The 26,035-nt window shown below is 49.2% G+C and overlaps 2 pseudogenes, besides 1 other annotated feature; both read right to left on the reverse strand.

The window, feature by feature from the left end:
- Positions 398-1,141, reverse strand: PPIAP82 (peptidylprolyl isomerase A pseudogene 82; annotated as a pseudogene).
- Positions 21,980-22,526: an enhancer, noted in NCBI's record as "H3K27ac-H3K4me1 hESC enhancer chr7:98104799-98105345 (GRCh37/hg19 assembly coordinates)". NCBI's record gives its function as "activates a minimal SCP1, AML or CMV promoter by ChIP-STARR-seq in naive H9 embryonic stem cells {active_cell/tissue: H9 hESC(naive)}" and the evidence as "EXISTENCE:reporter gene assay evidence [ECO:0000049][PMID:30033119]".
- Positions 24,977-25,283, reverse strand: RPS26P33 (ribosomal protein S26 pseudogene 33; annotated as a pseudogene).

Genomic DNA, 26,035 nt, shown 5'->3' on the forward strand with positions numbered 1-26,035 from the left:
TGTAAGATCCCATATTGGGGCTGGGAGCAGTGGCTCATGTCTGTAATCCCAGCACTTTGGGAAGCCGAGGCAGGCAGATCACGAGGTCAGGAGATCAAGACCATCTTGGCTAACACGGTGAAACCCTGTCTCTACTAAAAATACAAAAAATTAGCCAGGCATGGTGGCGGGCACCTGTAGTCCCAGCTACTCGGGAGGCTGAGGCAGGAGAATGGCGTGAACCCGGGAGGCGGAGCTTGCAGTGAGCCGAGATTGCGCCACTGCACTCCAGCCTGGGCAACAGAGTCAGACTCCGTCACAAAAAAAAAAAAAAAAAAAAAGCTCCCATATGATCCCATATTGGGGGTTTTCCTGTCCTGGGGGCCAACACCTCCATTTCTCTCTCTTTATATTTTTTTTGTTATTTAGTTTTTATTTCACAATCATAAACTTAACTCCGTAATCCAGCTAGGCATGGAAGGGAACAAGGAGAACATGGAACCAAAGGGAACTGCAGCGAGACCACAAAGATTCTAGGATACTGCGAGCAAATGGGCCGGAAGGGTGCTCTCCTGAGCTACAGAAGGAATGGTCCGGTGGTTAAGATAAAACAGAAGTCAAACTTATTAGAGTTGTCCGCAGTCAGCAATGGTGATCTTCTTGCTGGTCTTGCCATTCCTGGACCGAAAGTGCTCCATGGCCTCCACAATCTTCATGCCTTCTTTCACCTTGCCAAAGACCACATGCCTGCCATCCACCACTCAGTCTTGGCCGTGCAGATGAAGAACTGGGAACCATTTGTGTTGAGTCCAGCATTTGCCATGGACAAGATGCCAGGACCTGTATGCTTTAGAATGAAGTTCTCATCATCAAATTTCTCCCTGTAGATGGACTTGCCACCAGTGCCATTAAGGAGTGTGAAGTCACCGCCCTGACACATAAACCCTGGAATAATGCTGTGAAAGCAGGAACCTTTATAACCATATCCTTTCTCTCCAGTGCTCAGAGCATGAAAGTTTTCTGTTGTCTTTGGAAACTTGTCTGCAAACAGCTTGAAGGAGACGCGGCCCAAGGGCTCGTCGATAACAGCAATGTCGAAGAACACGGTGGGGTTGACCATGGCTGATAGTACAGAGTTCCTGGTGGCGGCAGTGTCTGCAAAGCTTCTCTCTCTCTTTTTCAAGAAATAGGGTCTCACTCTGTCACCCAGGCTGGAGTTCAGTGGCACAATCATAGCTCATTGCAGCAGCCTCGAACTCCTGACCTCAAGCGATCCTCCTGCCTCAAACTCCTGAGTAGCCGGGACTAGAGGTGTGTGCCTCCATGCTTGGTTAATTTATTATTATTATTTGTAGAGATGGGATATGGCTTTGTTGCCCGGTCTGTTCTCAAACTCCTGGTCTCAAGCGAGGATCCTCCCTCCTGGGCCTCCCAAAGTGTTGGGATTACAGGCATGAGCCACCATGTCTGGCCAATGCCTCCATTTCTGAGGTGGACAGTCTCACTGCCCAGAGGAGTGTCTGGCTGGCCTTCATTTGTTAAAGAGCATCTCAACAGAAGGGGGCCCACCCATTGGAGGTGGTTCAGCTAAGTCTGGAGGCCCACCAATTGGTAGTGGTTGAGCTAAGTCTGGACATTCAGACATGGTGGGCCAGGTGCTTGTTAGAACCCCTTGGAAGCAAGAATGGCTGAGTAAACCAGGATTTTGTTGCAGAATGGAGTTGGTCCTGAATTCTCACTGTTAGAGTCACCAGCTGGGGAACCCTTCCAGCAGCCCCCAGGATCAATGACTAAAATGAAGTGGGCAGGCCTGGGGAGCTGGGAATGATGCAGGTGTATCCAAGCTCTGAAGGCAACCTCTACAAGCCAGTGCCAGTGGGAGGAGGCAGACAGACATCCTCCAGGAGCCTGTTGGGGCTAGAGGGAGTCGCCATGTCCCCAGTATGCTACCAGGGTAGCAGGGGCATCAGCAGCAGCATCACTGGATGGCCTCTTCTTCCATCCTCTGGCGTTTCACAGACTCACCATGAATGGGACAGATTTCATGACCACTCAGGGACTTTTCAGAAATCTAGGAGCAGGGATGACCCTGTACCTTTTTCAGGTCTGAAAGCAAGAAACACCCCATGGGCTGACAGCCCCCACCAGGGAAAGGACAGCTGTATGCAGCATCTTCCTCCTTAACTGGGCACAGATCCCAGGGGCTGGAGAAGGAGTGTTGACACCTAGGGGCTGGCCACACTGAGATGCCAAACTCCCCAACTTCTGGGAGGAAATGCATATAATGGATACAGGTATGTTTGAAAATATGCTCATAATGAGTACATATGTGTTTGAATGTATGCGTTGTGAGTACATGTGTGTGCATTTGTGTGAGTCTGTGTGAGAGCATGAGTGAAAGTGTGTGATATATGAAGCCAGCCTGATGGGGTTTGGTGGCATTGCTAGAAGCCCCTGAGAGGAAGGGAAAATGTGTGTGTGTGTGTGTGTGTGTGTGTGTGTGTGTGTGTGTGTCTGGGAGTGAGTAGGGTGTATGTGTCTATGTGAGTGTAAGGATACATAACTGTGAGTGTGTGTCTTAGTCCAAGGCGGCTGCTATAATGGAATGCACACATTCAAACCACACATAATCTATCTGGCTGTTCTTATGCACCAGTCCTTGCAATGAATAGCATGTATGTTTGAATGTGTGCATATAATGGGTACGTGTATGTTTGAATTCATGCATATAATGGATACATGTATGTTTGAATATGTACACATAATGGGCACACATATGTTTGAATGTGCATTGTGTATATGTGTGTGTACATTTGTGTGAGTCTGTGTAAGTGCATGAGTGAATGCGTAGGATATATAAATATATGTGTATGTGAGCTTTGAATGTGTGCATTTGTAAGTATGTGTATATGTGTGAGTGTGTGTTTGAATGTGTGAGGTGGTGTGCATGGATTGAGAGCATGCGTGAGATCCTGATTTACTATTCTTTAAGAAAGAGCTAATTCTCAAGAATAAGAACAATGGAAGGAGGACATATTAGAAGGAGAGTCACAGGGCAGAAATTCAGAAATCCAGGATGGATTGAGGGGCTCAGGGAGGAGGAGGGAGAAATAAATGGTAGCCAGGGTGCTGCGTGAATAAGCTATAGACCTATTTTAGTAGATGCCAGTAGTGGGAAATTTGGAGAGAGAAAGAGATGTCCGGTGAGGATTTTCAGAAAATTTCCATGAAAAGATTTGTCTAAAGCCCCTGGGCCTACCTTTTGACGAAGCCGATATGAAAGATTTACATGAGTATACATTGCAAGGACTGGTCCATGAGAACAGCCAAATATATTCAGGTTATACAAGGGAATAAAGGCCTAGTGGCCATTTCTCCAGGACATCCTACTGTGTAAATTCCAAAGGACACCCAGAGAAGCTCGATATAGATTTGTAAAAAGATAACGTTTTGAATGTCCATTGGGATATGATGAGTTTCTAAGAAAGAAGCCCAAGGGGGTGGAACAGCTGTTCGCCTATGACCATTGGCCCGATACCTCCCCAGGGAGCATGGCGGTGCATGGGAATGACATTTGATAGGAACCGCAAAGACACAGCCACATTCATCAAAATATGTTCAGCTGTTTGCATTCACTCTGGCTCAGACATTAGAGGAGATTTCCTGGCTTATGTGACTGAAAGGCCAGAGGCAGAGTGGGTGCCAGCATGGGTTTCATTTAGTGAGTCCAGTGTCATGAGGGTTTCTTCCTATCTCTGCTTTGCTTTCTGTGATGAAAGCTTTATCCCCAGGACGGCTCCTCTTCCTGGGTCCACATCATCTCTTCCACACCACCTGGGTAAACAGGGAGACACTCTGGCCCAAGATGTCAAGGGTGAGTCCTGAGATCCACCTGGCAGACAGTAATGACCATGGACGGGGACCAGCAAGGTTCAGACACCTGCTGAGTTTGGATCTGTGGCCTTTGGGTTCTAGAGGACTCAGCCCCAGTAGCAGCAGGATTTTTTTTTTTTTTTGGAGACGGAGTTTCACTCTGTCACCCAGGCTGGTGTGCAGCGGCGCGATCTCAGCTCACTGCAACCTCCACTTCTGGAGTTCAAGGGATTCTTCTGCCTCAGCCTCCCGAGTAGCTGGGATTACAGATGCCCGCCACCATGCTTGACTAATTTTTATATTTTTAGTAGAGATGGGGTTTCAGCATGTGAGCCAGGCTGATCTCGAGCTCCTGACCTCAAGTAATCCACCTGCCTCGGCCTCCCAAAGTGCTGGGATTACAGGCGTGAGCCACCGCACCCAGCCTAAGGCTGGCTTATTTTCCTGGCTCTGCCCCTACTAAACACCATAGGGGACTCCTGCTCCTGGAATGATCAGAGCCACCTTGGGGCCAGCTGCCCCTCTGCAGCACAGATGCTGAGCTGGGGACTCAGAGAAGGACATCAGTGATAGCCATCTTCTTCCCAAGAAGGCGCTGGTGCAGGGCGATGGTGGAGATACCCCTGAATTTCTGAGCTGTGGGCTCACAAGGTTGGGGGTGCAGAATGAATGAGGGGTGGGACCCAGTGTATATGAGGAGGCAGCCTGGATTTTGAATCCCAAGCTTGGAGGACACAGATCATCTGTTTTTGCAGTCTGACATCTGAAGCCCTGTCCTAGGCATTCCCAAAGCCCCTCCTTAAGCATCTTGGTGAGCAGTGGGGACACCTCCCACTCTAGGAACTGAAAACACGAGGTCTTCCATTCCCAGCATGTCTTGCAGCCTGAGCATGTGACCTGAGCTCAGCCAATCAGAGACGTCTGCTCTTCCTGGGCACTCCTTCCGGTGGTGGTGGTCACGTGGACCATGTTGTCTCGGGGCAGCCATGCCTTTCCCAAATTCAAATGTGTGGACTCTCTAGTACCCTGCCCATCAGTTCCCTTCTGTCTAATTAACAATCCAACTCTGTTGCTTGCGACTCATAAGCTGGCTGATACGAAAGGGAATGCAGCCCACCAAAGTCAGCCTGGGGATGTCGAAGGGGGTCCAGGGAGCAGGGCTGGACACCCCAGGACAGGGCAGCCAGGAGAGGATCCTGGGTCAAATGTAGGGGTCCCCTGAAGTGAGGGAGGACAATGACAGATTCACTGCACAGCCCGGTGAAAGCAAAACTGTCAGTCCCCAATACCATCCTGCCCCGACTATCCAACAGGCTGTGTGACCTTGGGCCACCGCCTTCCCTCTCTGAGCTTGGCTCCTCCTGTATGGGCTGGGAGCTGGCGTTGGTAATCTCCAGGGGGCCCCCTCCTCGCCTTTGCCTCTCTGTCTCTGCATTTGGGCTGTGCTGTGGTGGCTGGCGGCTCTGGGTGCTATCTGCCTATCAGTCCAAAGCCTCGGGAATCAGGCCAGGCCTCGGCCCACCTGGGGAGCAAGCAAGTTTTATTTTATTTTCTCTTTCCAGGCTTTGGCGAAAGGCTGTCCCCGATGGGAGACAGCTTGGGGGGTTCCGGAGGCAGGAGGGAGATGAGCTCCGTACTGCAGATCTTCAGGCAATCTGAGGAAAAGTAGGAGAATTTAAAGAGTCGTGAGACAACCTCCCAGGGAGTTCCCAAGACCAGCCTAGGGCAAAACCGGGGATGAGGGCTCAGCCCAGGCTCGGTGAACAGCTACCCCTGGCAGGTATAAATAACGAAACGCTGTAACTACTGACAGAACCACACCATTCGAAGGGTGCTTGTGAATTCTCTTTGTTTTCTCCTCTGCACCTGTGGAGTGCCCGCTATGTGTGTCCGCACCTGCCAGGGAAGCTGAGAGGCCTGGCTGGCTGCTTCGGGTTTGAGCGAGGACAGCAGCTTGGTTCTGAGTTAAGCAGACTGCATCAGAGGTAGCCAAGTATTGAGGCTTCTGCTGGGCCCCGCACCGTGTTCCCCAGCCAGTCAGGGCTACCGGGGACCCCTTTGTCCACACTGGGCACTGGGCTGAGTTGGGCTTCTGCCCGAGAGCCATTCATGAAGGTGTGTAACACACAAGGCCCAGTCAGGAAAAGAGAAACCACTCTGGGTATTTCAGAGTGAACTTGTTGGTTACCCAGGTATAGTAGGGAGTTAAGAAACAGAAAGGGTAAAATGAGGCAAGCCAGAGATTAGCAACGCAGAGAGCTGCAACCACCCCTAGGGTTGGTAAGACCCAGGGGGATGTGGATTTCCTGGAGCCAAGGATCTGGGCCATGGGGTTGGGGGCGGAGCCGTGGCAGGGGCTGACCATAGGGAGCTGGGACCACGGAGGGAGGGACTGTGCAGCAGGGGCTGTGACTGTGGAGGAGCCACCACCAGAGGCTTTACCCAGAGGAAGAGAGAGCAGGAGAAATTCCCTGGTTTCTCCCTTTACCCCATCTTCTAGTCTTTTCTTTAAAACTGTAGTAAAAGACACATAACAGGAAGTTTATCATCTGCACCATAAAAAATATAATAAATAAAAATAATAAATATTTTATTTATTTATTTATTATATTTATTTATTTATTTTAAGGCAGGGTCTCACTCTGTTGCCCAGGCTGGAGTGCAGTGGTGCAATCATAGCTCACTGAAGCCTCCAATTCCTGAGCTCAAGCGATTCTCCCACCTCAGCCTCCTGAGTAGGTGGGACTACAGGCACGTGGCACCATGCCTCACTAATTTTTAAATGATATGTAGAGATGGAGTCTTGCTATGTTGTCTAGGCTGGTCTTGAATTGTCCTTAAGCGATCCTCCTGCCTTGGCCTCCCAAAATGCTGGGATTACAGGTGGGAGCCACTGCACCTGACCAGCTCCACTTTTAAGTGTACAGTTCAGTCGCGTTAAACATATTCACATTGTTGTGCAACCATCACCACCACCCATCTCCAGAGCTTTGTCATCTGGCCACACTGAAACTTTGTCCCCATTAAACAACAACTCCCCATTCCTCCTCCCCCAGCCCCTGGCAACTACCATTCAACTTTCTGTCTCTATGAGTCTGACTGCTCTAGATACCTCATATAAATTGAACTATACAGGCTGGTCGCAGTGGCTCATGCCTGTAATCCCAGCACTTTGGGAGGCCGAGGTGGGTGGATCACCTGAGGTCATGTGTTTGAGACCAGCCTGACCAACATGGCGAAACCCCATCTCAACTAAAAATACAAAAATTAGCCGGGCATGGTGGCGTGGACCTGTAATCGCAGCTACTCAGGAGACTGAGGCAGGAGAATCTCTGTAACCCAGGAGGCTGAGGTTGCAGTGAGCTGAGATCACGCGCCTGCACTCCAGCGTGGGCAACAGAGCGAGACTGTCTCAAAATAAATAAACGAATAGATAAACAAATAGAATTATACAGTATTTCTTTGTGTGCGATTGACCTATTTTATTTAGCATAATGTCTTCAAGGTTCATCCATATCGTAGCATGTATCAGGATGTCCTTCCTTCCTTCCTTTTTTTTTTTGTTTGTCTTAGAGATGAGGTCTTGCTCTGTTGTGCCGGTTGGAGTGCAGTGGTACAGTCATAGCTCACTAAAGCCTTGAATCCCTGGGCTGTAGGGGTCCTCCTGCCTCAGCCTCCTGAGTAGCTGGGATTACAGGTGAGTGCCACCATGTCCAGCTTCCTTCCTTTTTAAGGCCAAATCATCTTCCATTGTATGGATGAGACCACATTTCATTCATTCATTCATTCATTCATTCATTCATTCATCAATGAACACGTGAATGCTTCTACCTTTTGGCTATTGTAAATAATGCCGAAACACATGTGGTATACAAATATCTCTTTGAGACCCTGCTTGCATTCTTTTGGTTATATACCCAGAAGTGGAATTGCTGGATCATATGGCAATTCTGCTTTAATTTACTGAGGAAGCGCCATGCTGTTTTCCACAGCAGCTGCACCATTTTGCACTCCCACTAGCAGCGCACAAGACTTCCAGTGTTTTGTTTGTTTGCTTTTTTGTTTTGAGACAGAATCTCACTCTGTTGCCGAGGCTGGAGTGCAGTGGCGCGATTTCGGCTCACTGCAACCTCTGCTTCCCAGGTTCAAGTGAGGCTTGTGCCTCAGCCTCGTGAATACCTGGGATTATAGGTGCACACCACCATTCCTGGCTAATTTTTATATTTTCAGTAGAGACGGGTTTTCCCTGTGTTCGTCAGGGTGGTCTTGAACTCCTGGCCTCAAGTGATCACCCCACCTTGGCCTCCAAAAGTGTTGGGATTACAGTTGTGAGCCACTGCCCCCAGCCATCTTTTATTTTTTTGTTTTCTTAATAAACTTGTTTTCACTTTACAGACTCACCCGGAACTCTTTCTCATGCGAGATCTAAGAACCCTCTCCTCTTGGGGTCTGGATCTGGGCCCTTGCCTGTAACAGGATGGCAAGGCTGGGCTGAGAAGGCAGTACTGCAGGGAGCTGGCCTGCCTAAGAATAAGGCCAACAGAAGGAAAACAAAGTCCAGGATTGCAGAAGCAGGGAGTCTTGACTGTGTTTCTGTGCCTGGATACAGCTATGCCTAAAGCCACCTCTCACCTGTGGGCATTCACAAGTTCCCTCTTTTTTCAGGGCCTAGTTGGGTTGGGATTTCAGTCAGTTGTCACTAGAGGTCATGACTGATGCATGTGCCTCGGGGCCCAAGCCCTGGCCTTTGCGCGCCTTCTTGATTCTGTATTCCTCGTGTTGCAGTTCGGGAAGTCTGGTCTTCCAGACAGGTGGTCCCTCTGAATACGCCGCAGTACTTCCTTGATTTGCACAGAGACAAGCAGATCAGAAGTTGGTGGGAGGCCAGCTGAGAGTTTTTGAGTCGGAAGGATGCACCTTTGCTGATTCTTAGACTTGGTGACTTGCCTGTGGTACCCTGGATGGTGAGTGATGGAGCTGAGACTGAGTCAGGCTGTGGGGCCACTTGGTTGTTTTGTCCACACTTGGGAGCCTGGTGAAGGCTGCGGGGGACATCCTTGTTAGACCAGGATGACAGAGCTGTTCCTGTTTCTTTTATTATTGTTATTGTTATTATTAATTTATTTAAAAGATGGGGTCTCACTAAGTCGCCCAGCCTAGAGTAGAGTGGCACAATTGTAGCTCACTGCAGACTTCAACTCCTAGGCTCAGGAGATCTTCCTGCCTCAGCCTCCAAGTGGCTAGGACCACTGTTGCACACAACTATGTCTGGCTAGTTTTTAAATTTTTTGTAGAGATAGTCTCACTTTGTTGCCCAGGCTGGTCTCGAACTCCTGGGCTCAAGTAATCCTACCACCTCAGCCTCTCAAAGCCCTGGGATTACAAGCATGAGCCACTGGGCCCGGCTGTTCCTGTCTCTAAAATGGCCATAGAGCTGAAAGAATCTTCTCTTTGTTTGGTGACAGAGTGGAGTGCTGGCCCTTGGAGGTCTCAGTGGCCCTGCTTTTGCTGAGACAGGCTCATCTCCTCCCCAGGCACTCAGGAGGGCCGCTACAGGGTGCTCAAGGCTTTGTGCTTCAAGGACAGAGCTGGAATGAAGCCCTAGCAGCCCAGCTCCTCGTCAGCCCCATTGCCATTCCCTGTCCTCCCCGAGCACTTTGCACATTCAAAAGCTGTTTCAGAAGTAGCAGCACATCTGATTCTCTTTAATGCACTTCCAGGCAGCACAGATGTGCATCAATGAATGAATGTTCCCTGAACCAAAGTGCTTCCGTGGGCCTCATGGTCCCCTCCCTCGGCACCCACTCCCAGGCCAAGAGCGTCCTATGAATCATGCATTTGTTCCTGTTATTGCTGTTCACAGAGTGGCAACTCTTGCAAAGGGAGGGGTACAAAGTGAATTTTTAGATGCTGCAGGAGACGAAGGGTCAGGGACTCTGGCTGGGGTGGGGATGGGGAACGGGAAGAAGCAGACCTTGTCAGGGGGTGATGGATGTAGGCTCCTGGAGGGGAAGCTTGCAGAGTCCAGAGCCCTGCCACCTGTTCACATGGCAACGGCACCCTGGCTGTAACACCTCCTGCATATGTCCATATGTAACAGGCTTTATCCTGAATGGAGAATTTGGCACCTGAAGCAGTCCCATGTGGAGTCCAGCTGACACGGGAGTGGGGTGGGGAGGGAACCAACAGACACAAAACAAAGCACTGGGTTGGGGAGGGGGCAGGTGGAGGGGGTGCAAAAATCTCCATGGCTGAAGAGACAGCAAACCAGAGACCAGACTAACAAGAGATGTGCAGACGGCTATACAGCAACTCCCAAATCGAAATGATTGCATGAAGCTCGTTCAAATATCCAAAGGCATAAATTAAGCACTGAGACCGTCTGTCCCTAAAATGTGTCAGTCAGACAGACAGATGACTGAGGGAAGACAGCTGATGTTTCCGTCGTTTGCAAAAATACAGTACTCTGATTTTGAGGGGGAGGCACCAAAATTCGTGATTCAACTTTGAAAGCAATGTTCAAAGTTTAAAAAAAAAATTTAAAGCTTGAAAAATGTCCCTGGAAAGGAACATGAAGACAAGTGTTATGAAAAGATGAAAGTCTCTCCCTTCAATGAAATGAAGGAAAAACATCATTGCACCAGCCACGTGGATGCTCCTGACAGCAGCGTCTCCTTGGGGAGGGTTGGAGGGGCGGTGGCTGTTTTTCCTTGTGGGAGAAGAGCTGGGATGAGAACTCCAGGGAAACCCGCAAGAGTGGATCCAGGCTTTGTGAGGCCTGAAGCTTAGACACTTCAGGGGATTCCCGTTGAGGGAAAGAATATGTAAATACAATATAAGCTTAGGTACGAAAGTGAATGTTTATTTAAAATGAGAAAAGAAATCACTACAAAGTATAGGCACCCTGTATATTCAGGTCCCTTTCTTCTGCCACCCGTTTAGGTAACTTACTAGAGATGTTTGCAGACTCCATCCTGATTTCTCTCTCCACCCAGAACACTCTATGGCTCCCAGCATCTCCCAACTCTTGCAGGGGCCCAAGCAAGCGAAGGGTCCTGACATTGGGGTATCATTAGCTTTACCCAGAATCTGTCTCTGGAAATGAGGGTGCCCAGAAAAGCCAGCTCTCTGCCCTGACTGGGATTTGCTTTCAGTGGGATTCAGGGTCTGTGAGTAGGAGGCTGGAGGATTTAGAAAAATCCAGAATGCCTGTGCTCTGGGATCTGGGGGCAGTTGCCGGAAGGCAGCCTGGCCTGGGTTTGTAATTTCGGTTCATGGAAATCTGGCCAATTGAATCATACTCTGCAAAGAGCCCAAGCATAGGGAGGCAGAGGCTGGTGAGCACAGGGAGGCAGGCTGGTGAGCACAGGGCCTGGAGACAGCTGTGGGCAGACAGCCATTCAGCTGGGGTCAGGCAAGAGGCATCTTGGCTAAGGTATCGAGGTTTTCTTGCCAGGGCTGGTCCTTCATGTGGGAGAGAAAGCCTCAGGCTGCCCTAGCCCAGAGCCCCTGCCCAAGTTTACCTCCCTCTCCTTGTTCTGATTCTGGGTTAAACAGGCAAATGTGGGCAGGGGCGGGCATTGGTGTCTTTCTCTAGGAGACCTGCTTATTGGACAAGAAATTAAAGCCAGTTTGCAAGGAGGTCTGTCCATCCGAAGCAGCCAGACAATATTAATCTGGCTCTCTTGGGAGCTTGCCTGAGGAACAGAGGGTACTGGTCTGTCACCTTGTATGCCTGATAACTGTGTCTCTCAGGGCAAGTCACTAAATTGGCATTGTGGTTTTATTCATCCATTTCTTTGAACCTGGTTCATGCCAGGTCACCTCCAAGAGAGATGGAACCATTTCACTGTGCCCAGAAAATCAATGTCTGGTGCACAGCCAGCGCTCAATAAATATCACCGGAATGAATGAAAATTAGATTTCTGAGTTTGCTGGGGAGGGCTGGGCTCAGACAGTAGCGGGTTCCCAAGGAAATGGTCGCCTTGCTCGGGCTAGGCTGGGGGAGCAGCCGGCCCGTGCTGGGTTCTCTCTGATGGATCACAGTGAGCAACAGAAGCGTGGGTGGGTATCACCTTCAGCCTCCACTGACTGCTGTGGAATCCTGTTAATGCCACTGCCTAAATACCCCAGAACTGCCCTCTTCTCTCCATCCCTTTGCCCTAGAACTCTCTCTTGCCTAGATGGCCATAGCAGCTTCCTTCACTCTGAAGCCTGGTTGGGTTTCTTCTCTTTTCTCTCTTTCTCTCTCTCTTTTTTTTTTTTGATACAGGGTCTTGCTCTGTTGCCCAGGCTGGAGTGCAGTGGTGCGATCACAGCTCAGTGTACCCTCAACTTCTCTGGCTCGAGCAATCCTCATCCTCCTGAGTAGTTGGGACTACAGGTGCACCACCACACCTGGCTAATTTTTTTTTTTTTTTAAACGGAGTCTTGCTCTGTCACCAGGCTGGAGTGCAGTGGCACGAGCTGGGCTCACTGCAACCTCCAACTCCCTGGTTCAAGCAATTCATTCTCCTGCCTCAGCCTCCTGAGTAGCTGGAATTACAGGCACGTGCCACCACGCCCAGCTAATTTTTGTGTTTTTAATAGCGATGGGTTTCACCATGTTGGCCAGGAGGATCACAATCTCTTGACCTTGTGATCCACCTGCCTCGGCCTCCCAAACTGCTGGGATTACAGGTGTGAGCCACTGCGCCCGGTCGGCTAATTTTTAAAACATTTTTGTAGAGATAGGGCCTCACTGTGTTGCCCAGACTGGTCTTGAATTCCTGGGCCCAAGAGATACTCCTGTCTTGGCTTCCCGAAGTGTTGGGATTACAGGTGTGAGCCACTGCACCTGGTCCAGGTGGGTTTTTATAAAGCTCAAACCAATCACCTTCCCTCCTGGCTCGAAGACCTCTCTGCCTCCCCATTAACCAAAGACAAACCTCAAACTCCTGAACATGGCACTGAACTCCCCTCCTCCCTACCTCATCTGCTCTCACTCCCACCTCCTACTTTGCTACAGATTGTCTGCAGTCCCTCCCACCACCCCACACCCCCAACCTGCATGCAGCTTCAACCTCCGTAACTTACTTGGTGAATTCATTTACCAGGGCTGCTGTAACGAAGGACCTCGGGCTGGGTGGCTTCAACAATAGAAATTTATTCTCTCAAAGTTCAGGAGACCAAAAGTCCAAGATCAAGGTGTCAGCAGGGTTGGTTCCTTCTGCGGGCTGGACGCAGCTATTTTATTTATTTTATTTTTTGAGACAGAGTCTCACTCTGTTACCCAGGCTGGAGTGGAGTGGCACGATCTCGGCTCACTGCAACTTCCGCCTCCCAGGTTCAAGTGATTCTCCTGCCTCAGCCTCCCAAGTAGCTGGGATTATAGGCACGAGCCACCGCACATGGCTAATTTTTGTATTTTTGGTAGAGACAGGGTTTCACCACGTTGGCCAGGCTGGTCTCAAACCCCTGACCTCAGGTGATCCACCTGCCTCGGCCTCCCAAACTGTTGGGATTACAGGCATTTTAGGGGGACACGTTCTGGGGGGAAACCCTTGGCATATGCTGTTCCCTCCATCTGGCATGCTCCTTCCTTCTTTCCTTCTTTCCTTCTTTTCTTTCCTTCTTTCCTCCCCTTTCCCTTTCCCTTTCCTTTCCTTCTTTTTTCAGAGTCTTGCTCTGTCACCCAGGCTGGAGTGCAGTGGCATGATCCCACCTCACTGCAACCTTGACCTCCCTGGTTCAAGTGATTCTTCTGCCTCAGCCTCCCAAGTAGCTGGGATTACAGATGCCTGCCACTGCACCTGGCTAACTTTTGTGTTTTTAGTGGAGTCGGGGTTTCACCATGTTGGCCAGGCTGGTCTCAAACTCCTGACCTCAGGTGATCTGCCCGTCTCGGCCTCCCAAAGTGCTGGGATTACAGGCTGAGCCACCGCACCTGGCCCATGCTCTTCTTCTTGTCCCTCACCCCAATCCCCTCCCACTGCCCTGATAACTCTTTGTTGTCCTGAAAGAGGCCGAATTCGCCTTCTTAAGTGCTTCACTGTTGTCACTGAATGGCCAACTGCTGTTGACACTAGACTGGGAGCCCCTTGAGGGCAGGACCAGAAAGCCTAGCCCTGGGCTAAGGACATTGAGAGGTGAGTTAGTTAAAGTAACATTAGTTGCTGTAACAGATAAACCTCACAGGCTCTCTGGCCAAACACAATAGAAGTAGAAGTATTTTTCTTTCTCGAATTAGAGGTGGGGTGCAGGTGTTTGGTTCGGGCTCCTGAGTCTCTGCCAATGTCACCAGCTGGCTCCAAGGGCACCATGGGCATCACTACCCACCTGATAATGTGTCAGAGATGGGAGGATGGACGGGGAGGTTTGCATGGACCAGGTCCTCTCATTCCACTGGTTGGAACTCAGTCATATGACCCTATGTGGCCACGCCCACCTGCAGGGGAGGTTGGGAGATGTTGTCCCTGGTTGAGCAGCACAAAAGGGAAGCACACATCTTAAGGGGACAGGAGTCCATGTTACATGTATGTGCACCTGAAACCCCACACTCTGATCCTGATATTGAGAAAGGGGCATTTGAAACATAGGGGCTTTCTTATTTTGTATTCCAAAGCTGAACCCACTTGGGGGGATTTTGAGTCCAACCCCTTCTATGAGTCTGTTCTCTTTCCTGGACTGCCTGTGGGATGTCCGCTATGACCCTATTTTGGGGAAGTTGCTGGAGGACTCATATGGTTTGGCTCTGTGTCCCCACCCAAATCTCATTGGATTATAATCCCCACGTGGTGAGGGAGGGACCTGGTAGGAGGTGACTGGATCATGGGGGAGGTTTCCTTCATGCTGTTCTCATAATACTGAGGGAGCTCCCCCAAGATCTGATGGCTTAAAAGTGGCAGTTTCCCCTGCGCGCTCTTTCTCTCTGCTGCCTTGTGAAGAAGGTACTTGCTTCTCTTTTGCCTTCCATCATGATTTTAAGTTTCCTGAGGCCTCCCAGCCATGCAGAACTGTGAGTCAATTAAAACTCTTTCCTTTATAAATTACCCAGTCTCAGGTAGTTTTTCTTTTCTTTTCTTTTTTTTTTTTTTTTTTTTAACATAGTCTCCCTCTGTCACCCAGGCTGGAGGGCAGTGGTGCCATCTCGGCTCACTGCAACTTCTGCCTCCTGGGTTCAAGCGTTCTCCTGCCTCAGCTTCCTGAGTAGCTGGGATTACAGGCACATGCCACCACGCCCAGCTAATTTTTGTATTTTTAGTAGAGCTGGGGTTTCACCATATTGGCCAGGCTAGTCTTGAACTCCTGACCTCAGGTGATTTGCCTGCCTCAGCCTCCCAAAGTGCTGGGATTACAGGTGTGAGCCACTGTGCCCGGCCTCAGGTAGTTCTTTATAGCAGTGTGAAAATGGACTAAAACAAGGGCAGAGCTGGGTTCTTGGTCCACATTAAGCACGGTGGGATCTTACGGGGTGGGTATTCTGAGGAATTGGTTATTTCAAATTCAGGGCACACTAATGGGGTCATTCCTGGGGTGGCCTTGGCCCAGCCTCTGTGGATGCTTTTGGACCCATCTCTCAAGATGCTGGGCTCTGGAGGGTTCAGCCAGGAGCCTCACCTGCTCTGTGTCGGCACTGCTTACCTCATGCCCAGCTGGCCACAGTGGAGTCTGGAATGAGGTGGAGGGAAGAAAGGGAGTTAATCTGTCCTGAAGGCTTGGTGTGTGCCAGCTTCGTACATATATGGCCTCCTCAGAACCTCTCAAGAGACCAGAAAACAGGGTCTTCAAACAATGAGGTGATCTCTACATTAACAAAGGAGTGGAGAAGGCTTCCTCTCACCCCCATTCCAAACCCTTTCTGCAAGAAATCTTCTGTTTACCCAAAGTACATAGAATACATTTGCTCAGACATTTTTCAACACCCATGCCCCTTCCTGCTGTTTGTTTTTAGTTTGCAGATTGTATGAGTCAGATTTGCTGCAATAACAAACATCACACACATTTCAGTGGCTTGCCACAACAAACATTTATTTTCCCTCATGGTGTGAGCCTGTGGCTGTGGGCCAGCTCCATGTGTCTGATTCTGGAACCCAGGCAGAAGGAACTGCTTCCTCGTGGAACTCTCCTATTCTCAAAGCAGAGGGCAGAAGCGGTGGATGCAACTTTCCATTTGGACCTGGCATGCATCATGTCTGCTAATAGAAAATAACATAGTGGATGCCCACCTGCCCACTCCTGGTCCTTCTCTTAAGAAAAGTAACCAAAAAGCAAAGAAGCCCTGGGCCCTGTGGATGTGAACATGTCCACAGAACACATTCCCTGCACCTTACTTTGGGGAACCACAGGCTTAAAACATAAACCTAGGTTTGCAATGTAGATCCTTCAAGGATTTTGCAAACTTCAGGTTTCAGACAAACAAACAAACAAAAAAGGGCATAACCAACTTGGAAAGAAAGGTTCTGAGAACTTGCTGGAAAGTGACCCCATCATACCACCCTATAAAGGTTTCTTTTTTTCTTTTCATTTTTTTTGAGACCGAGTCTCGCTCTGTCACCCAGGCTGGAGTGCAGTGGCACAATCTCGATCACTGCAACCTCCGCCTCCTGGATTCAAGTGATTCTCCTGCTTCAGCCCCGAGAGTGGCTGGGACTACAGGCACGCGCCACCATGCCCAACTAAGTTTTATATTTTTAGTAGAGACAGCGTTTCACCATGTTGGCCAGGCTGGTCTCGAACTCTCGATCTCAGGTGATCTGCCCACTTCAGCCTCCCAAAATGCTGGGATTACAGGCATGAGCCACTGTGCCCGGCCTATAAAGATTTCTTTTACCCCCTCCACATTAGATCCAGGGTATTGAGGCAGGGGTCCTGACTATCTCCTCTAGCTCCTCCAGCACCAGTGCTCACAGCTGCCTGCCTGCAGAGTTGAGGGAGGGGAGGGGAGACAGGGAAGGCGATAGCTCCTAGGGCCACACTGTGACTACTGAAATATGAGCTCAGGGGCCAAGGCAGTTTAGGGGAGGGGTTTCACTTCCTAAGAGGGTGTGCAGGTCTCTCTTTGGAAAGACTTCAGGGTGCTAATGAGGAGCCAGGAATTTCCTAATACTCTGGGGGTGTCTCTTCTCCTCCTCCTCTTGGGGTCCCCCTATTTTGCGAGGCAGAGGCTCCCTCAAGCCTGTGGTGCTCAAGTACCTTCAACCCTAGAGAGGGGAAAGCTGTCTTCACTGCTCCGTCGCCCCAGCCTGGGGTCCTCTTCACCACGCACGTCACCTGCAGGGCCACGCGGCCGGGATTCCCGCTTCCCTGCACCCGCAATGCCCGAGAGGCGGCAACGTCACGCCCCCTCTCCGTCCCGCCCCCCTCCTTTTATTTCTCTGGCCCCGCCCCTCTCCAGCCTCTCGAGTCCTGTCCCCGGCCCGTGGACCACGACCCGCCACGCCCCCAACTGCGGGCCACGCCCCATCCAGTGGCCCCGTCCAGACTCCGCCCACCTCAGGCCCTACCTCGTCAAGGCCCCGCCCCGTGCTTCCGTCCCTCTGCAGGTCCAGGTACGTGTGGCCAAGTGTGGGGTCGCCGCGCCCCCGCCCCCCAGGGACCTCGCGTCCCCTTTTCCCTTGTCCTTTAATTCGGGTCGTCGTCTTTCCTCTGCATTTGTTTGTTTCCAGAATTAATGAGACTAAAATTATTTTTGAGATTTTTTTTTAGGGGTATTTAGAGACTTCCCTTTAGGTAGTAGGGGGTGCCTTGAGGGAAGGCTGGCGCTCCTCGATTTGATAAGTGATTTCTTCAGGGTTGCCAGGCTGAGCTGGCTCTCGGGAGGAGCGCTTCTGCAGGGATTACAGTCCGCAAACATTTACTGTTTATCTGCAAGCCTCAGGGCCTGCGGGAGGAGGGTGAACGTCTTTCTAATGCAAAGAAGGAATAATGATGGCAACAACAGCTCGCCTCAGGCTAATTGATTTTATTTATTTATTTATTTATTTATTTATTTATTTATTTATTTATTTATTTTGAGACGGAGTTTCGCTCTTGTCCCCCAAGTTGGAGTGCAGTGGCGCGATCTCAGTTCACTACAACCTCCGCCTCCCGGGTTCAAGCGATTCTCCTGCCTCAGCCTCCCAAGTAGCTGGGATTACAGGCATGCGCCATCACGCCCAGCTAATTTTTGAATTTTTAGTATAGACGGGGTTTCACCATGTTGGTGAGGCTGGTCTGGACCTCCTAACCTGAAGTGATCCGCCCGCCTCGGCCTCCCAAAGTGCTAAGATTACAGGCGTGAGCCACCAAGGCCTCGGGCTAATTTACAAAGCATGTTCACCGCCACCGTCTCATTTGATCCTTTTTTTTTTTTTCTGAAGCATTTTTTTCTGTCCCCATCTTAAAGACTGCGAAACTGAGGCCCAGGGAGGCGAGTTGGAGCTAGATCTGCCTCATTTCAGATCTGTCTTGTCAGATAAACATATTTAAAACTAGCAAGTACAGAGAAAATGAATGTTGAGTAAATAATTTTAAAGAATGTATCCTCTTATGTTCCAATGAGGGGGTTTTTAAAATTTGATTTTATTGTTGTAACAGAAGCTCTTATTTCCACGTCTTCTTAAAGGGACTTTACTATCCCATATGTTTAAAGCACAATTTAAAGAGAACAAGGCCAGGTGCTGTGGCTCATGCCTGTTATCCCAGCACTTTGGGAGGCAGGAGGATTGCTTGAGCCCAGGAGTTTGAGACCAGCTTGGGCAACATAGTGGAGCCCTGTCTCTACAAAAGAAAAAATTAGCTGGGTGTGGTGGCGCGTGTCTGTAATCCCAGTTACTCAGGAGGTTGAGGCAGGAGAATCACCTAACCCGGGAGGCAGAGGTTGCAGTGAGCCAAGATGGCGCCACTGCACTCCAGCCTGGGTGACAGAGGGAGAACCTGTCTGTGGAAAAAAAAAAAAGAGAGAGCGAGCGAGAGAGAACAAATCAGTTTTGAATAATTATATAATTAAGTTACCACAGGGCACAGACTTGTACCCTGACTTGTAGCTCATGCAGACACATCTTACCTGGTCCTTTGGTGGAGAAGGGGCAAGATGGCTGGCCCCAACAGGGAGTCGAGGCTGGGCTGGAACCACAGGAAGGATGGAGACACAGAGGGAAGGGTGCCTGAGACCCTCGCTGCTGTCTCTGTAGTTAAGCATTTACTCCAAGCCCAGCACGTTGGCTGCACCCAGGAGCAGCTGCGGGGGCTCTGGGTCAGGCTCACCGGACCCTCGTCTGCTGAGAGGAGCCTCCTGTCAACCCCAGCCCCCTGGATGGACCAACCAAGGGCAGACTGCCCCGGTCTCCAGGTTTCTTTTGCATGAAAAGCTGTGCTCAATAATCCTATCAAAGCTGTCAGCCGACCAAGCCCAGAGACCAGCTGTCTCAAGGAAACAGTAAACCAGATGAAGGATGCCTTTCTCCGATTCGGTTGACATGCTTTATGTGTGAGCACTCTTACGACAACAGCAGGTATATAAAAAGGCTCAGTTACAGTTTCTTGGAAATAATAAAATAACTCGGAGGGACTCGTATGCCAAGGAGCTTGAAGATGAATGCCTGGCCATAAAAGTGGGCTCTCTTCATATTTCATAAAGCTGTGGTTCAGCTGTCTGGCAGGTTGAGGAATGAAAGGTGGGATTATTTTAGGAACGTTTTATGTTGCATCCAGAAGTATCCAGTTTATTGTATAAACAGCACTCAGACTTGAATGAAGGCAACAAGCATGATCGTTTTCTCCCTTCAGAAATCCTTTTGGGAGATAACAGTTTTAGGGCTAATTGAGTATAACATCAAATAATTATCAGCTATTGCTATACAGGAAGGAAATCCCTCTTTCATCTCTATAGTGTGTGCCATGCATCGGGCTACTTGGGGTTGAGGAATTATTGTCTCAGTGTTACAAATGGGGAAACTGAGGCTCAGAGTGGCAGCGTGACTTGTGCAAGGCCTCAAAACAGAAAAAAAACAGGGCCAGACGAGGTGGCTCACACCTATAATCCCAGCACTTTGGGAGGCTGGGGCAGGAGGATTGCTTGAGCTCAGGAGTTCAAGACCATCCTGGGCAACATAGTGAGACCCCCGTCTCTACAAAAAATACAAAAAATTAGCTGAACATGGTGGCACCTGCCTGTAGTCCCATCTACTTGGGAGGTTAAGGTGGGAGGATCACTTGAGCCCGGGAGGTGGGGGCTGCAGTAAGCTGTGATTGCGCCACTGCACTCCAGCCTGGGTGACGGAGTGAGACCCTGTCTCTTAAAAAAAAGAAAAGAAAAGAAACAGACTGGGAATCAACCAAAGGACGAGGCAAGAGGACTGTACATGAGACTGTCTGTACACTGTAGTCTTCATTATCTAGTTTAAAACGGATTCATTCTCTTTAAATTGTGCTTTAAACATATGGAATAGTTAAGTCCCTTTAAGAAGACTTGAAAAGAAAAGCTTCTGTTACAAAAATAAAATCAGAATTAAAAAGAAAAACCCTCATTAGAACATAATAGGATCTATTCATTAACATTATTTACTCAACATTAATTTTCTCTGCACTTGCTGATTTTAAATATTTTTAAATATTTCATAAGACAGATCTGGAATTATTCATTTATTATGGTAACACCTCAGTGTTTAATGTATTTTCAATACTTTTCTAAAGTGAAGTCTCACTTTAGTGTCATTTTTTTCTTTTTCTTTCCTTTCTTTTCTATCTAAAATTAGAAGTTGGGTTAAAAGACGTGGAAATTCAGGGCCAGTGGGGAGGTGAAGCTCTCCTCAAAATGTTTTATTTTAGTTCCTTGAGTTGACTTTTTTTTTTTTCCAGTTTGATTCACGTATAATTGTAGTATGTTATGCCACACATATTTAAACTATACAATTTGGGCTGGGCGTGGTGGCTCACGCCTGCAATCCCAGCACTCTGGGAGGCCGAGATGGGTGGATCGCCTGAGGTCAGGAGTTCCAGACCAGCCTGGCTAACATGGTGAAACCCTGTCTCTACTAAAAATACAAAAAAATTAGCAGAGCGTGGTGGGGGTGGGGTGGGGTGGGGGGGGCGCCTGTAATCCCAGCTACTTGGGAGGCTGAGGCAGGAAAATCTCTTGAACCCAGGAGGTGGAGGTTGCAGTGAGCTGAGATCTCACCATTGCACTCCAGCCTGGGCAATAAGAACAAAACTCCATCTCAAAAAAAAAAAAAAAGTATACAATTTGATCAGTTTTAACATATTTAGTAATTCATATAGAGAGTCATGTGTTGCTTAATGACAAGGATACTTTCTGAGAAATGCATTGTTAGGCGATTTCATGGTTGTGTGAAATCACAGAGCGTGTTGCTGCAAACCTAGGTGGTGTGGCCTACTACACACCCAGGCTGGATGATGTAGCCTGTTGCTCCTAAACTGCAAACCTGCACAGCATGTGACTGTACTGAATATTGCAGGCAATTGCAACACAATGGTAAGTATTCGTGTATCTAAATATATTGGCTGGGCGCGGTGCCTCATGTCTGCAATCCCAGCACTTTGGGAGGCCGAGGCAGGCAGATCACTTGAGGTCAGGCATTGGAGACCGGCCTGGCCAACATGGTGAAACCCCAATTTTACTAAAAAAAAAATAAAATTAGCTGGGTGTGGTGGTTTGTGCCTGGAGTCCCAGCTACTCAGGAGGCTGAGGCAGGAGAACTCCTTGAACCTGGGAGGCAGAGGCTGCAATGAGCTGAGATCACGCCACTGCACTCCAGTCTGGGCGACAGAGCGAGACTCCGTCTTAAAAACAAAACAAAACAAAAACATAGGCCAAGTGTGGTGGCTCACTCCTGTAATCCCAGCACTTTGGGAGGCCTAGGCGGGTGGATCACCTGAGATCAGGAGTTTGAGACCAGCCTGGGCAACATGGCAAAACCCCATTTCTACAAAAAATACAAAAAATTAGCTGAGTGTAGTGGTGTGTGCTTGTAGACCCAGCTACCTGGGAGGTTGAGGTGAGAGGATTGCCCGAGCTGGAGAGGTTGAGTCTGCAGTGAGCCGAGATCATACCACTGCACTCCAACCTGGGCAACAGAGTGAGACCCTGTCAAAGAAAAGAAAGAAAGAGAGAGAGGGGGGAAGAAAGAAGGAAAGAAATAAAGAGAGAAAAGGAAGGAAGGAAAAAGAAAGAAGGAAAAAAAGGAAGGAAGGAGGGAGAGAAGGGAGGGAGGAAGGAAGGAAGGAAAGAAGGAAGAAAGGAAGGAAGGAAGGTAGGAAGGAAGTAAGGAAGGGAGGGAGGGAGAGAGGGAGGGAGGGAGGCATTTATTTGTAGCTTGCCAAGCAAGAAGGACCAGGTAGCAAAATGCTCGAATCCTGGCTCACCGATGGCTTTTGCAGGCAAAAGTTTTTAAAGGCAGAGATATATTTCAGAAAAGCAGAAGCTACAGGCAAAATTGTGAATGAGTACACAAAGGTTACACATTGGTTTAGGCCTAAAAGGGTGGTGAGATATCTTGAAGCGAGGGCTTAGTGGTCATAGGTAGACTCAAAGATTTTCTGATTTTCAATTGGTTAAGGAAGAGATGCTTTGTTTAAAACTTTGGGGTCAGCAGAGAAAAATGTTAACTGTCTCAGGGGTGTGATGCCCTCCAAGACCCTCAGAAAGAAATTTAGACCAAAGAATGGTGCTCAGAATTCAGTCTTCAGTTCCCCCTTATCTCAGGCCTTCAGTAGAGGTCCAGGTTTCTGAAACACAGCTCAGGGACATATGGTAAGATGTTATCTTTAGTTTCTATAGGGAAAGCAAACATCTCTGGAACTCTTACTTTCTTGGCTTATTGTTTTAAGCTACTATTACTTTTTTTTTGAGATAGAGTTTTGCTCTTGTTGCCCAGGCTGGAGTGCAATGGCACGATCTTGGCTCACCGCAACCTCCGCCTCCTGGGTTCAAGCAATTCTCCTGCTTCAGCCTCCCGAGTAGCTGGGATTACAGGCATGCACCACCACGCCTGGCTAATTTTTGTATTTTTAATAGAGACGGGGTTTCACCATGTTGGCTAGGCTGGTCTCAAACTCCTGATCTCAGGTGATCCACCCGCCTTTGCTTCCCAAAGTGCTGGGATTATAGGTGTGAGCCACCGTGCCGGCCCTATTGCTACCTTTCGTTTTAACAATTGACTTATTTACTTCTGGGGCTAGCTAGATGCCTGGGATTTCCCTTGTAAGAACCAGAATTTTCCTTAATTTCCATGCTGTGAGGTCCACAGGCACCTAAAAAAGAGGTCCCTGCTCCCTCTCATTTCTCAGCTGGCGGACAGCCTCTTGCCTCTCTGTGGGGATTCAAGATGTTGGCCCATCCTCCACTGTCCCCAGGTAGTCGATGACCTTGGTGGTCAGGATGGACTCTTAGGATCATGGGTGGGGGGGGGGTGTGTTTGGAGCTTTCTTGACCCCGGGAAAGCTGCAGGATGACACCTTGAATTTTCTCTGCAGTGCCACGGGAACTGGCAATTGCATTTAGCACTCGTTTGTCCTCTCTGCGTGCTAAGTGATTGGTGACACATGGAGGCACTGATTGTTTCCTAAGGGCTCTTTTACGAGATCTCCAATAAAGTTCTAAGCGGATCATGCCTGTTTGGGGAAAGATAACACCAGTGTGAGGCCCAGGAGTTTCTCAGAAGAAATTCTAGCTGGATGAGCATTTAAGGAAGGAGATGAAGTCAGCGTTTGGAGACAATGAATTAGATGGCTGGATATGTCACCGCAATCATGAATAATAAATGAGCAGGAAGAGGCTATAATTCACAGAGTGGGAGAGGAGACTAGAAACTTGTAGTGCCTGGGGAAAGAGCATCTGAGACATGCCTTGGACTTGTGAAAAGAAACCTTCTTGAAGAAATGCTTTTCCGCAAAAATGCCTGTTATCGGGAAGAGTGTCCATGTTTCCGAGAGACAAAGGATTTATGGCTGTAACAGAAACTCTCTCCGTGCAACTCCACCCTCCTCTGTCCCTCCCTTTGCACCCTGCAAGATCTTGCCAGCCATAATTAGGGCTGTTTTGGGGACAGGCCATTGCCCCCCCTTCTCAAAGGGAGGTAGAAGGCAGGACTTGACTCCAGAGGTGGGGCTTGGACACTGGACCAAACTGAGGACTAGTTAAAACAGGGCCGGGGGCCGGGTGCCGTGGCTCACGCCTGTAATCCCATTGCTTTGGGAGGCCAAGGCGGGTGCATCACCAGAGGTCAGGAGTTTGAGACCAGCCTGGCCAACATGATGAAACCCCGTCTCTACTAAAAATACAAAAATTAGCTGGGCATGGTGGCGTGTGCCTGTAATCCCAGCTACTTGGGAGGCTGAGGTGGAAAAATCGCTTGAACCCGGGAGGCAGAGGTTGCAGTGAGCTGAGATCTCACCCCTGCACTCCAGCCTGGGTGACAGAGTGAGACTCTGTCTCAAACAAACAAACAAAAACAAAAAACAAACAAAAAACCAAAACAAAAAACAGGGACAGGGTAGAAGCAGCTTTCCATAAGACACACCCCCCAGTGCATCATGTCAGTTTACCACTGCCATGGTAACACCTGGGCGTTTCTGCCCCTTTCCATGGCAATGACTCGACGACCCAAAAGTTACTACCCCTTCTCTAGAAACTTCTGCATAGGCCGGCGCAGTACACACCTGTAATCCCAGCACTTTGGGAGGTCAAAGCAGGTGGATCACCTGAGGTCAGAATTTTGAGACCAGCCTGGCCAACATGGTGAAACCCCGTCTCTACAAAAAATACAAAAATTAGCTGGATGTGGTGGCACAAGCCTGTAGTCCCAGCTACTCAGAAGGCTGAGGTGGGAGGATTGCTTGAACCCAGCAGGCGGAGGTTGCAGTGAGCTGAGATTGTGCCAACTGCACTCCAGCCTGGGCAACAGAGTGAGACCCTGTCTCAAAAACAAAACAAAAAAAAAAATTTTCTCATAGGCCACTTCCTTAATCTATATGTAATTAAAAGTAGGTGTGAATGTGGCTGCAAAGCTGCCTTGAGCTACTGTTCTCTGCCTATGGGACAGTGCTGCTCCCAGGAGCAGTCATGGAGCTGTAACCCTGCAGCCTCAGTAAAGCTGTTTTCTTCTACCCTACCACTGGCTTGCCCCTGAATTCTCCTTTTTTTTAAAAGTACAATTTCCATTTTATTTTTCTCCAGATAATAGTCTGTCTTCAGTCTTGAAGGACTCAGCTCCTTATATGGGCTTTGGTGGGGGTCATGGGGCAGCACCCCCAGGTCTAAATCGGGGTGGGGGTGTTTGGTCCTTGAGGGCTTCACGAGATCAATTCCTGACTACTTTGCTGTGAATGGCACAACCCACACAGTAACACAGCTTCAGATATAGCTTGGGAAGCACATAGGCATTGAAGACGCTCGCTTCAGAAATGTCCCTGACTGCTGTGGCCTCTGCTATGTTTAGAATGATGTCTTTCTTTCTTTCTCTTTTTTTTTTTTTTTTTTTGAGATTGAGTCTTGCTCTGTCACCCAGGCTGGAGTGCAGTGGCGCGATCTCGGCTCACTGCAACCTCCGCCTCCCGGGTTCAAGCGATTCTCCTGCCTCAGCCTCCCGAGTAGCTTGGATGACAGATGCCCGCCACCATGCCCCACTAATTTTTGTATTTTTTAGTAGAGATGGGGTTTCAACATGTTGGTCAGGCTGGTCTTGAATTCCTGACCTCAGGTGATCCACCCGCCTTGGCCTTCCAAAGTGTTGGGATTACAGGTGTGAGCCACCACGCCTGGCCCCAATGATGAATTTCCTAATGGCCTTGTCTTTGGGCACATGTCAGGCACAGTTCATGCAGTGAATAGACTGCACGTGCTCACGGCCCTTTTGGGCATAATCGTTGTTCCTTCTTTTCTTTGTCATCTTGGAGGCCTGGACTGGAGAGAGCTGGCCTTGAATTGTTTCCTGCGTGAAGCCAAGAATCCTCTCAGGCTGAGTCCCAACTTGGGGCTCGCCTGCCCTGCGTCCAAAGTGTGTCCTTCTAAACCTCATCAGGCCCTGTGATTCACAGGTGTAACAGGCCATTGCAAGGGGGAGAAGAGCTCTCAGCTGGAAAAAGGGTTTAATGAGTTTCACAAGCATAGGGAGTCTGCTGTTTTTGTTAGGGTCCAAGGGTTGCCACCTCAGCATCTATTTAGAGCACCCCCTGGAAAAGACAAGAGTCAGCAATAAATGGGCCT

This window comes from Homo sapiens, chromosome 7 (genome assembly GCF_000001405.40).
Source record: "Homo sapiens chromosome 7, GRCh38.p14 Primary Assembly".
NCBI classification, from domain to species: domain Eukaryota; kingdom Metazoa; phylum Chordata; class Mammalia; order Primates; family Hominidae; genus Homo; species Homo sapiens.